Here is a 13,012-nt window from a genome sequence, read left to right as displayed (position 1 = left end):
CTGCTCAGAAACACACACTTTACTGCCTTTTCTCCTCTCCCTGTCCCTTCTCCACTCTCTCGTAGTGCTCATTTGGATCTCCTTCCAAAGAAACGACTGCTCCCCAAGCCTGTGTCAGGGTCTGCTTTTGGGGGATCCCAACGAAGACATCAGCCTCCTACTCGCTCCACATCTGCCTCCAGGCTACTGAAAACTCCTGGAAAAGGGACTTAAGTAGCTCTATGATACATCTGCATTCAGAGATGTGAAATACTGAAATAGACATTGAAGAAAATGAGTTTGGGTGTACAATGGTCAATAGATTCAACTGAAGCAAGGCTGGAGGCAGGGGGCCCAGCAAAGAGGCTGCCACACTTGTCCCTCTAAGGAAGCCTGCAGTGGGCTAGAGGTGGCCGTAGAAAACAGTCAGGAGGAGGTGATCATTCCAATCCCTCAGAGGTAAAAGGGCATGTTAACCGCTTGTGTTTTGAAAAACAAGGCTGAGATCAAAACTATCTGACTTATGGTATTCCATTCGATGTATTTGTCAAAAGAAACGGAAGCATTTGCCATGAAGAAAGGAAAGCCACACACTTATCTGCCTGAGCTATTTTGCTCATAGAAGATCTCACATCAGCGCAGCAGAATAGGAGATGACTTACTTTCCTGCTATTTGACTTGCCTGCTATTATTTTCTTTGAGACACTGAACACTCCACCTATTTCTTTTTTATTTTCTTCTCAATAGGAACTCTTGTTGGCCTCTTTGGATTATTTTGTTTTTCAGATTTTTTTTTTTTTTTTTTTTTTAGTGATCCAAGACAATATGTGCTAAAAGTCCTCCCCATTGCCTTGGTAAATCTATTTCTGGGAATAAGCTAAACATAGGAGAAGATTTATACTAAAAAATGTTCATCATAGTGTTATTTTTAAAGGGTTAAAAATTAAACATTTGGCAGGACATGGTGGCTCACGCCTGTAATCGCAGCACTCTGGGAGGCCGTGGCAGGTGGGTCATTTGAGGTCAGGAGTTTGAGACCAGCCTGGCCAACATGATGAAACCCTGTCTCTACTAAAAATACAAAAATTAGCCAGGCTTGGTGGCGGGCACTTGTAATCCCAGCTACTCGGGAGTCTAAGGCAGGAGAATTGCTTGAACCCAGGAGGTGGAGGTTGCACTGAGCTGAGATGGTGCCATTGCACTGGGCGACACAGTGAGACTCTGTCTCGAAAAAAAAAGAAAAAGGAAAAATTGAACATTACCCAATGTCTAATAATAGGGGGATGGTTGAGTGAATTAAGGCAGTTCACTCAAAAGAATATTGTGCCATTATTAGAAACCATGGAACTGTGAAAATAAGCTACCTCCTCTTTTCCTCAGATGGAAATGGAGAGAAAAGGGCCCTTTCTAAGAATTCAAGTGGAAATTTCAAAGCTATTTTTGGCACAGTTGAGGAAGCATTGTTGAGAGAGTGACCCCAGCAAATCAGCCCTTTCCTTGGGTGCAGTTCCTAAAGATACACAAATTGGAAGGAGCTGCAATATCAAAGTTGAAGGAAAGGAACTAAGTATTGCTCTGCAGAATTATGTTATTGACTGGATATGCAGGAGAGAGAGAATCTTGAAAATTCAACAGTGAAGAAACCTCAACTTTCTGCCTAGAGGCTCTAGCTGCACTGTTTCTGCAAATTATGGTTATCCTGGTGAGATACTCGGGTGTGCTTTTGTCCAACAGACACCTGCAGGTACTCTGAGGACTTACAAGTGAGCGCATTGCATAGGTGGGATGCCCCGTGATGGGGACCTGGCTTTGAGGTCCCACTCCATTGGAACTGCACTGTGGGGTGGAGTACCAGAGCCTCCCCTCCCAGCCCCCGGAGTCAGGGTGCCACCACCCATGGGGGAGCATCCTGATGCAGCTCCCAGGAAATCACCCCAACCAAACCACTCATGGAGGAAGCTGACTGAGCAGGCTGGGGTTGGGGTGGAGTGGGGTGTGACCAGGCCAATTCCTGTGTGTCAGGTTCTGAGATGTGGTTCTGTTTTGCAGAATTATTTTGTTTGTGGGTAACTGAAACTCAATTTAAACTAGGTTAAGAGAAAAGGGTGGGCTTTTTTGGCTCATGTGACAGGACAGTAATGAAGTTGGTCTATAGTTTAACTGGTTCAGAGACTCAGTGTCTTCAGGTCCCTCTCTCCTCCTTCCTTCCCTCCCTCCCTCCTTCCTTTCCTCCTTCCCTCCCTCCCTCCTTCCCTTCCCTCCCTCCCTCCTTCCTTCCCTCCTTCTCTCCCTCCCTCCTCCCCTTCCCTCCCTCCCACCTTCCCTTCCCTCCCTCCTTCCCTTCCCTCCCTCCCACCTTCCCTTCCCTCCCTCCCTCCCTCCTTCCCTTCCCTCCCTCCCTCCTTCCTTCTTTCCTTTCTTCCCTCCCTCCCTCCTTCCCTTCCCTCCCTCCCTCCTTCCTTCTTTCCTTTCTTCCCTCCCTCCCTCCTTCCTTCCCTCCTCCCTCCTTCCTTCCCTCCTCCCTTCTTTCCTTCCTTCCCTCCCTTACCCTCCCTCCCTCCCCCTTCCCTCCCTCCTTCCTTCCCTCCTTCCCTCCCCTCCCTCCTTCCCTCCCTCCTTCCCACCTTCCTCCCTCATTCCCTCCCTCTTTCCTTCTTTCCTTTCTTTCCTCCCTCCTTCCTTCCCTCCTTCCTTCTTTCCTTCGTTCCCCACCTTCCTTCCCCTTCCTTCCTTCCTCCCTCCTGACTCTGCCCCTGCCAGCCTGGATGCCAGCTTCCTTCCTTCCTTCCTTCCTTCCTTCCTCCTTCCTTCCCCTCCTACATCTCTGCTTCTCTGTTTGATGTTCCTGTTTCCTCCTCCTACAGACAAGCTTCCTCCACACATGTGTGAAGGAGACACCATGGCTCCTTCAGACACATTTAGAAACTCCCAAGACGAAAGAGATTGTCTTTCCTCTAATCTCAGTACACATAACTCCCAGGGAAGGACTAGGATTGGTTCAGCTTGAGTCTTGTCCCCAGGTTTTGGATGAACCACTATGGCCCAAAGGATTGGCCAGAGGTGGGTAACATGCCCTTCCGTGTGTTAGGGGAGGGGGTCATCCTTTAAGCAGCAACTCCACAGAATCACATACTTGGATGGAGTAGGAGAGGAAGCCACTTCCCAAAGGAAGGAGTCAAGAGAGGGAAGCATTCGTTCCCCTTAGGTTGTGGAGAAAAAGCCATATTTAACATACAGCTTTTTTTGTCCAATCATTCCCATCCCTAGTCCAAAGGCACTTTGTGCAAATTAGAAAAATTAGCCCCTTCCCCTAGGCGTTTTGCTGCCATCTTTCAGAACATTATCATCTTAAGTTATACTAATCTACACTGACTTCAAATGTGCTTGGTGCCCAGAATTGTGTAGTATGCAACCCATGCAACTGAATGTAGCAGCCCTGCCCGCTCGTATGTGGTAATCCCCTTCAATTAGTCCAATTGCTCTTTAAAAAAGGTCTTGCCCTGTAGAGCTTTGGGCAGTGGAGAGGCAGAAACCAAGGAGTAGAGCCATAAATGGGAATGACAGCAGCTCCTACCCCCTCTTCTCCCATGCCCACAGACAGGGAGCAGCGGCCCAGTGATTATCGGGGTGGTGACCAGCAGTCCCAGATGGTGACCAGCAGCAAAGTGAACTGAAGCCACAGCAGGGCTCAGGGTAATGAGAGGGCCCCCGAGGAGCAGCTTCAGGAAGACAGCATGAGAAGGAAATGGGAAAAAACATTTTCTTTTCCTCCGAACGCTAGAAGAAGCAGACCCTTGCAAAGAAGAGGTGGGGCTGGGCAGGCACTTGGATTACATCAGCGATGAAACTCCAGTGGGTAGGAGTGGGTATGTGTGTGGCTGTAGTTGTCGGTATCTGGGCTTGTGCTGTGGTGTGTGTACACACATGGGCACTTGGTAAGAGTCTTGTGTCTGTGCAATATGGCGTTTGTGTTGCTGGGGGCACAAGTGTGCCTCTGGGCGCATATAGAAGCCGTGTGTGTGTGCACAAGCCCGCTCTGCGGGTGCGAGCATGTTTGGGCGTGTCTCTTCAGTGAGCAGAACCAGAGGAAGAACCATGTGCATGTGCCCCTCCACTTACCATGGGCTCTGTCCCAATAAACCCATCATGAAGTTGAAAAAATCCTAAATGGTCCAGGCACTGTGGCTCACGCCTGTAATCCCAGCATTTTGGGAGGCCGAGGTGGGCGGATCACCTGAGGTCAGAAGTTTGAGACCAGCCTGGCCAACATGGTGAAACTCCATCTCTACTAAAAATACAAAATTAGCTGGGTGTGGTGGTGGGCACCTGTAATCCCAGCTACTTGGGAGGCTGAGGCAGGAGAATCACTTGAACCTGGGAGGCAGAGGTTGCAGTGAGCCAAGATGGCACCAAGGCACTCCAGCCTGGGCAAAAAGAGTGAAACTCCATAAAAAAAAAGAAGAAAGAAAGAAAAAGAAAGGAAGGAAGGAAGGAGAAAGAAAGAAAGAAAGGAAGGAAGGAAGGAAGGAAGGAAGGAAGGAAGGAAGGAAGAAGGAAAGAAAGAAAGAAAGAAAAAGAAAGAAAGAAAGAAAGAAGAAAGAAAGAAAGAAAGAAAGAAAGAAAGAAAGAAAGAAAGAAAGAAAGAAAGAAAGAAAAAGAAAGAAAGATCCTAAATGGAACCATCACAAGTCAGGATTCTCTGCATAGAGAACACCAGCGTCACACCTAGGTTTAGAAAACAGCTCTGGGGGTGTGAGGCAACTCCGTGGGGACCACAGGCCACAGACAGAGGAGGGCTGGGCAGAGATGGGCATCGGGCCTGGCAGGAACTTCTTGAACCACGGGCAGGCCTGGCCCCCAGGAGGGGCTCGGCAAGGACTGAGGCTGTGTCCACAGGGTCTGGGCGGAGCTGCTGTGGGGACGGGGGGTGGGCAGCGCCTCCCCAGGCCTCCCTATGCTTCTGTCGAAGGCTGCTCTGACCTGGGCTCAGCTCACTCGGGGCCCAGGGCAGCTGCCGGAGCTCTGGGCTGCCAGGAAAGATGGTGGCACGGGACTGCCAAGGCTGACGGATTTGGGAGAACAACGGTTGGGCGACAGAACTCCCCAGGGGTTTCTCCAGCTGGCAGCCAGGGGGCACTTCATAGCGGCTCCACCAGGGGTCACCAGAGCCCCAGAGTGGAGGGAGGAGGTGGGGTCCATCAACCTGGCCCCCAGCACAGCCCTCCCTCAGCCCGGGACGGATGTCCAGCCAGGGGGGTGGGCGTGGGGGTGGAGAAGGGACCTGGATATGTCTGTGTGGTCCAGCTAAACAGCTGGGGGCGGGGGTGTGCATGCACTTGTGTGTGTCTGGTGTGCGATGTGAGGGTACGGCTGTGGGTGTATAGATGGGCATACGCTTGGCGCACATCTAGTGACCATGCTAGTGGTACTTCTCCACATGAATGGGAGCATGTCACATGCATGAAATCCATAAACACAGGGGCATGGCTGTGTGTGCGCGTGTGTGTGTGTGTGGAGTGGGTGTGGGTGTGTGTGGCTGTAGGAGTGGGTGTGGCTGTGGCTGTAGTTGTGGGTGTGAGTGTGTGTGCTTGTGCTGTGGTGTGTGTACACACAGGCAGGCACTCAGTAAGAGTCTTGTGTCTGTGCAATATGGCATTTGTGTTGCTCAGGGCACAATGTGACTGTGGGCACAACTAGAAGCCATGTGTATGTGCACAAGCCTGCTGCGCGGGTGTGAGTGTGTTTGTGCGTGTGAGCTGGCGGCATGTGTGTGAACGGGTGTAACAGCAGAGGAAGCATCTGCGTGAACGTATGAAGGGTGATTTGCACATGACTGAGCCTGTGGGAGCACAGCTTTTGTGTGGGTGCGTCCGTGAGTGTGCACTCGAGTGACTGTGAGAGTGAGCCAGCGACTGTGTGAGTGTAAGCCAGCGCGTACCTCAGGAGTGCTTCTGGGAATAAGTGTGGAGATTCGAGTATGAGATGAGCCTGTGTAAACTGTCGAGGTTGGGAGAAGAACCACCTATGTGGGCTAATACATGTGTCCCAGTGAGTGAGTGTTTGTGTGCCCTTGTGAATGGGTGCGTGTGCCCGGGAGTCTGTCACTCCTGGAGCAGTGAGGCTGGAGCCCAAGTGGTCGCAGGCTGAGCCCAGAGTACACCCGGCGAGGGAACTGTGGCTGAGGCTCCCACCTGAAGATTGGCCCAGTCCTCAGGTTTCACTCATGACCCTGTGACATCAGCGGCAGCAGCTGTCCTCGCCGGCCCGGCCCCCCAGCCAAGTCCCCCAGAGTTCCAGCCCCAGCCTGAGGTGGGCACGGCGCTCTGGGCTTGTCAGCAACCGCTCTGCTCCCGTCCAATAGTGAGTACTGCACCCCCACACCCGCCCCAGGCCGGGTACCCCGAGGGGCAGGCCACCCCGAGGGGCAGGACTCTCTGGCCCCAACCCCAGCCTGGCTCCAAGGAAGTCACCACTTTGTTCTGGGTACTGCTGACCGCCTGCCCACTCTGCGGCCCGACCCTGCTCTGTCCCGCAGCCTCTGCCGAATCTTCTGGTGCCTGGACCCTCTCTCCAGCCCCAGACTTGCCTCTCTCTGTCCCGTCATCGGTTCCCTCTGCCCCGGCCTGGCGAGCTGTCCTTGCCCTCAGCAAGGTTCCTTGTTCTGGTCACAAACAGCCCAAGGGCTAAGGCTCGGCTCCGGAGGGGCATGGGTGACCCAAGGGACACAGAACGGGGCTGCAGTTTCTTCAGGAGAGGAGAGCAAGGAGCCGAAACAGTGACTTTGCTTGGCCTGTTTGCATGGCTCAGAGGCAGGGCTGTGGGGGGAGGAGTGCGGCAGGAGGCCGGGGTGGGGGGTGCTGGCGGCTCCTTTGCTCTGCTGAGAACAGGAATCTGCGAGATGCCAGCAGAGGACACATCCCAGGCTTTGCCCACGTCCCTGCCCCTCCCCCAGCCCACCCGGCACGGCTGGGCTCTTTTCCTAGAGAAGTCAAGAGCGCTGAGCCCTGCCGGGAAGGCGAGGGGGACATGGGGACGGGAGCCAGAAAGCCCAGCTTGAGGGGAAAAATATGTGACCACAGCAAAAAGGGTACTCTGGGGGACCAGAAGGGGTCTGGGGGCGGGGGGTCTTAGGAGGAGACACAGGGCCGGAGAGTGGGGTCCGGGGGTCGGGGCTGGCACAGAACACAGCCCCCTCCCTTCCTCCCTGCTGGGGTGGGCCGTGGCTGGTGGAGAAGGCAGAGTGGCCTGAGTGGAGTTGGGGGGATGTAGTTTGGAGGCAGGGAGGGCTGGTTCTACCAGGACCCTCCGGATTCTTCTGGGCCATCCCCAAGTCCCCTGCCTGTGGCCAGTGGCCTCACTCTGTGTGGCAGTGGTATGGACAGCTATGGTCACTGTGCTAGCATTTGGAGCCACATCACCTGTGCGGGACCACGTAAATAGACCCAAGGGCCTTGGAACCTGTGTCAGGCAGGGCAACCGAGCAAAGATGAGCTGGGTAAGGGCCTGCCCAGCCCCCTGGCCACATGTGCCCTGCCCCCGGGCTCCTCAGCAGCCCTCCCCCTCTCCATCCCTGGCATCTCTCAAGGAATTGTGCTGGGATTTTAGGGGGCTTGGGGAAGGCAACGGAGGGTCCTTCCTAGGTGGCTCCCATCCCAGCCTGGCCCTGCTCATCATTTCTGGTTGGAAACCTGCATGGGGTGCGAGCTCAGCCTCAGGGGTCTTCTCCTCAGCTCCAGGCTGGCCTGAGTGTTGGTCGAGACCTGCTCTGCTGACTTACGTCGCCAGGGTCTCTGCCATGACCCCAGGCCAGGCCCAGGGAAGCCCCGAGTTTGATGCTGAAGACATAGAACTCCTTGTCAAGTGTTGGGGTGGTTCTGAAAAGGTGTCTGCCTTTTGGGGGCAACTCTGGCCATCAGAAAGGAGGACAGATCTGATGGTGGTGGGGGTGGGGACAGTGCATCTTCAGGGCAGGGGCGGGGTTCTGAGAAGGCTCCTGGAGGAGGCTTAACCAGAGAGGCAGGAAGGATTGGAACCTTCAGGGAGGGGTGGAAAGGCTCTCTTCAAACGGAAAATCTGGCCCTGAGGCCTCAGAGAGCAGCTTGGGAGAAGGGAGGGGACGCTGGAGGAGGGTGTCAAGGACCAGGGAACAGGTTATAGAAACAGTCAGGCCCTTGACTCCTGTCACTTCCCCGGGGCGCACAGCTCACGAGTGGACAGGGCTCTGTCCACAGAAGCCAAGGCCCCCGCTCCCTGGGGAGGAAGCTGACTGGTGCAAGGCAGGGTCGGGGCAGAGGGCAGTGGGTCTCATGGGCAGCCCTACGGCTGGGGCAGATGTGGGGCTCCCAGCAGTTCTGGTGACTTCGGCAGGGGTCCCCAGCCCTGCTGTGGCAGGGACAGGCCAGGTCCCCCGTGGCTCCATTGGAAGGTGCTCGTTGGGGCTGGGGGATCCCAGGTTCCCTGCAGCACCCTCACCCCAGCCTTTCATGCATTCTGGCCCCCATTCTGCCTCATCAGCAACAGCTATTTTTATTCCCTGCAGTTTTCAGTCAACAGCCCTTGTTGGGGGGATGGGGCTGCTGGAGGAGAGAGGGGGGCTCAAGGAACCCAGGGACAGTAGAGGTGGTGGGGAAGCCACAGTGCCCGGGCAGGGCCCTCTGCCAAGAGCCCTCGCGTAAAAGGAAAGAGTGAAACTCCAATAGTTGCTGGCCCCCATCCTGTTTTTGAACTGGATTGTGAAACCAGGCACCCCCACCTACCCCATAGGTGCTTGAAGGTCATGGTCCACCTCCTGATTAAGAGCCCAAGTTTCTTTCAAACCCTGAGGGCCAGGCTTCCAATCCCAGTTTACTATGTAAATACCATCTGGTGAGTTACTTATCTCCCCTGTCCCTCAGTGTCCTCATCTGTCAAATCGGGGTGATAACAGGATCAGGGTGAGAATTTGATGTGCTCGTGGACATGTGAGGTGCCTGGAACAGTGCTTGGCATGTAACCAGCTCTACATACGTGTTCAACAGTATTATTGTGGCTATTGCCAGTCTGTGACCCTGACATAAAATGTCTCATCCCAGGGAAAAGAAGAGAGAAAGAGTTACAAGAAGGATGGCTTTGTTCAGTTCTGGGCACCCTTCGGAGCTGGGGGTCAGGGATGGGCTTTTTTTCCCTATCTGGTCTCCCTTGGGTGAGGGACCTTTTTTTTTTTTTTTTTTTTTTTTTTTTTTTTCAGATAGAGTCTCACTCTGTCACCCAGGCTGGAGTGCAGTGGTGCAACCTCGGCTCGCTGCAACCTCCACCTCGCAGGCTCAAGTGACTGTCCTGTCTCAGCCTCCCAAGTAGCTGGGATTACAGATGTCCGCCACCACACCCAGCTAATTTTTTTTTTTTTTTTTTTTGTATTTTTAGTAGAGATGAGGTTTCACCATGTTGACCAGGCTGGTCTCTAACTCCTGACCTTCAGTGATCCACCTGCCTCAGCCTCCCAAAGTGCTGGGATTACAGGCTTGAGCCACCATGTCCAGCTGGGTGAGGGTCCTTCTATAAAGTGGACTGCAGAGCCCCTTCCATGAGGGCCTGTGGTTTGCAGATGTGGCCATGATGGCCATGACGCCAGAGCGGCAGAGCAAGGTCCTTCCAGCCCACCTTTCAGTAAGCTCTGCTGTCAACACTTAGCTTTTTTTGAGGTTGGCAAGTTCGTGATCAGTCTAGCTTTGGAGAAGGCTCTCCAAAGAGTAGCTGGGGAGGAAACACCCCTGGAGTACTTTCTGCAGTGGAGGACTTTCCCAGAGCGAGCGGCAGGGCGCATCTCCTGAAGGGGGCGTGCTCGTGGTCGTGGGAGCAGGGGAGCTGGGTGTCAGCCTTTCCTTCCTCCAGGTTTCAGGCTGTTACTGAAAAGCCTCTTCTCTAGTGCTGGTGACTGTGCCCCCAGCTCCCCTGTCTCAAGTCGGGAGGACTCGAAGGCCACCCTCCCTGGATGGCTGGGGACAGATGGAGGGAATGGGGAGCCAGGTTGCCTGGAGTTCTCCAGGCCCAGGAACAGGTGTGAGCAGGCCTCTTGGTGGCCTCTCCGTGGACCCACTGCTTTGAGGAGCAAGGAGGGGAAGGGAGGTGGCTCTATGTTCAGGGGCGATGTGTCTAAGGGCAGGGGAGGTGGGCTTAGATGTGTGTGTAGAGGATGTACACACACCAGTTTGGGGGGCCATCATGCTCAGGGGCTCCTTAAAAAGATCTGATGCCAGGCATGGTGGTACACACCTGCAGTCCCAGCTACTTGAGAGGCTGAGGCAGGAGGATCAACTGACCTCAGGAGTTTGAGCCCATCCTGGGCAATATAGTGAGACCATATCTCTAGAAAAGATTGTAAAAGAAAGATCCAAGCCAACAGAGGGCAGGAAGCCCTGGGCCTGAGTGGAACAAATTAGCCTCCCCACCCTTTTGAGCAGCTGGGAAATGACTCATAGAGGCAATGAGTGTGTGTGTGTGTGTGTGTGTGTGTGTGCGCGCGTGTGTGTGTGTGTACACTGGCGAGGGCATGTGCATGCATCTAAGTAGGCCATATGGGGGTCAGGGGATATATGAGGGTGAATTGGTGCAAATTGACCTGTGGTTCTCTTCCCCCCACTGACCCCTCCCACACACAGCTCCCAGCACAAAACCCCAGGAGGCCTGAGCACGACCCTGCCAGGGCCTACCAGATGCCGACCCCAGCCCACACCTCTCAGGGGCTTGGCCCAAGGATCTGGTCTGCCCTTCGAAGGGGATAGATGGTTGAGAGTCAGGCCAGTCCAGGGAGCAAACTGAGTGGGACCTCAACCTGGGCGGGCCCCGTGCTGAGGGAGGGCAACTATGCCCAGCCGAGTTCCCCAAGGGGCTGGAGGGAGGCCGAGTCTGTAGTAGCAGGCGCAGGGGCTTGGCATGAGAGAGAGCTGCGTTCAAGACCTGGCTCCACCGCTGGTTAGCTAGGATGATGAAAGCGAAGTCCCTGGGACAGTGCCTGGCACGTGATAAGCTCCAAATGAACATGTCCATGATAACTTTTCATCTAGAAATATTTCTCAAGCCTCCACCTCATGGGCCTGTGCACGTCAGCACTACAGGTGACTGCACGGAGATTTGGGGGCCAGAAACCAGCCCCTCCCACGCTATGGAAAATCTTTCCCAAGCTGACTGAAGCTCAGAATTCCACATCTTACAACAAATTCTTTTAACTTAAGGCTCAGACTTGGGAGGAGAAACCCACTCTGGAACCTTGTGTCTGGGGAGAAAAGGCTTCTGGGGCCGACAGATGAGCTGGGAGAAGTTAGTGGGAAGTGGGCACGGTGCCTGAAACCCAACCAGCATGTTTGTGGGCTTTTATTTCATCAGAACTGAGCCTGCTAGAAGCACTCTGGGTAGAGGAAAAGGGTCAGGTTTGGGAGAGGAGGAAGAAAGTTGGGGAAAAACTAACCAGTTGGCAGGGTGCGGTGGCTCATGCCTGTAATCTCAGCACTTTGAGAGGCCGAGGCAGGTGGATCACTTGAGTCCAGGAGTTCAAGACCAGCCTGGCCAACAAAAATTAGCCACGCATGGTTGTGGGCACCTGTAATCCCAGCTACTTGGGAGGCTGAGACTGAGAGAATCGCTTGAACCCGGGAGGCAGAGGTTGCAATGAGCCGAGATCGTTCGTGCCACTGCACTCCAGCCTGGGTGACAAAGTAAGACATTGTCTCGAAAGAAACAAACAAACAAAAACAAAAAAACTAACCAGTGTTCTTGGAGAGCCTTTGGAAATTGTCAGGGAATGGGGCTGATAGTGAAAGGAGGGCCTGCCCATGCATCCTGAATAGGAAACCAACCATACAGTAGGTGCAAAATAAACATGGCCACCACTGTTACTCTTATCCCTTGGGTAGAACAAGTTATTAGGCCAGTTGAATCAGGAGCTTAAAACAGGGAGGCTTGTTCTGACCCAGTGAGCCCCCATGGAAAATGCAATCAGCTTTAGCCCACCCCTCACGCAGGAGCCCACCCCCACATCACCCCAATTGGTTTCCGGAACTCTCTGGGCCTCTGAGTGTCTGGAGGTTTCCATCCGAGGCTCCTGGCTCCAGGCCTCCCTCCAAAGTCTCTCAGAGCAGATTTCCTCTGCAGAGTGTCAGGCCAGGAGGGGAGGGCCACCTGGGGTGACTTCCTCTAGGCCCCTGCCTGCCAAGGCACAGGCCACTCTTCCTCCTTTCCAGGCCCCAAGCGCTGGCAGAGAAACAATACAGCTACCCCCTTCCCGTCCCCACCCACAGCCTGCCCCAGCTGAGAAAATGTTGTGACTTGAGACTTACAACCCGGGGGACATAGGGATGGATTTTTCACTCCTGGAGCTGGGCCATAGCAGGAACACAGGAATTTGGGAAGTGGGCCACCCGGATGCCCGGTGCTGTCTTTGGCCAGGAAAAAGAAGTCTGGTCTGTTTCAGACTCCCAGGAAGTTCCAATTCTGAGCCCCCACTGCAGGTGAAGCTTGGGGGTGGGGGTGGGGTCTCCACTGGCCACAGATGGCACTGGATCATTTTGCTCCCAATCCATAGAGAAAACAGCTAGATCCTTGTGGGTGGCTAGCAGCTTTGCTAGAGATGAAGAGCATGCTTGGTTGGCAAGAGGGGAGGTGGCTGGTGCCTGAGCAAGGCCAGCAAGCAACCCGCCACCTCTGCATCTGGAAGGATGTGCCCTGGAGTTAACAGGGAAGGCAGTGAGGGGCAGATTACATTCATTCTCAATCTTCCAAAAGAGTACTTGTATTAGTTTTCATGCTGTTGATAAAGACATACCCAGACTGGGCAATTTACAAAAGAAAGAGGTTTATTGGACTTACAGTTCCACATGGCTGGAGAGGCCTCACAGTCATGGCGGAAGGCAAGGAGGAGCAAGTCACATCTTACGTGGATGGCAGCAGGTGAAAGGAGAGAGAGAGACCTTGTGCAGGGAAACTTTCCATTTTTAAAACCATCAGATTTTCATGAGACTTATTCAGTATCATGAGAACAGCACAGAAAAGATCCACCCCC

General features: G+C 53.9%; 2 annotated features.

The window, feature by feature from the left end:
* Nucleotides 7,737–8,288: an enhancer, noted in NCBI's record as "H3K4me1 hESC enhancer chr17:62064779-62065330 (GRCh37/hg19 assembly coordinates)". NCBI's record gives its function as "activates a minimal SCP1, AML or CMV promoter by ChIP-STARR-seq in naive H9 embryonic stem cells {active_cell/tissue: H9 hESC(naive)}" and the evidence as "EXISTENCE:reporter gene assay evidence [ECO:0000049][PMID:30033119]".
* Nucleotides 8,289–8,842: an enhancer, noted in NCBI's record as "H3K4me1 hESC enhancer chr17:62064225-62064778 (GRCh37/hg19 assembly coordinates)". NCBI's record gives its function as "activates a minimal SCP1, AML or CMV promoter by ChIP-STARR-seq in naive H9 embryonic stem cells {active_cell/tissue: H9 hESC(naive)}" and the evidence as "EXISTENCE:reporter gene assay evidence [ECO:0000049][PMID:30033119]".

The sequence above is a fragment of the Homo sapiens genome, chromosome 17 (assembly GCF_000001405.40).
Source record: "Homo sapiens chromosome 17, GRCh38.p14 Primary Assembly".
NCBI classification, from domain to species: Eukaryota; Metazoa; Chordata; class Mammalia; order Primates; family Hominidae; genus Homo; species Homo sapiens.
The sequence above is the reverse complement of the archived record's forward strand: the minus strand, read 5'-3'. Positions and strand labels throughout refer to the sequence as shown.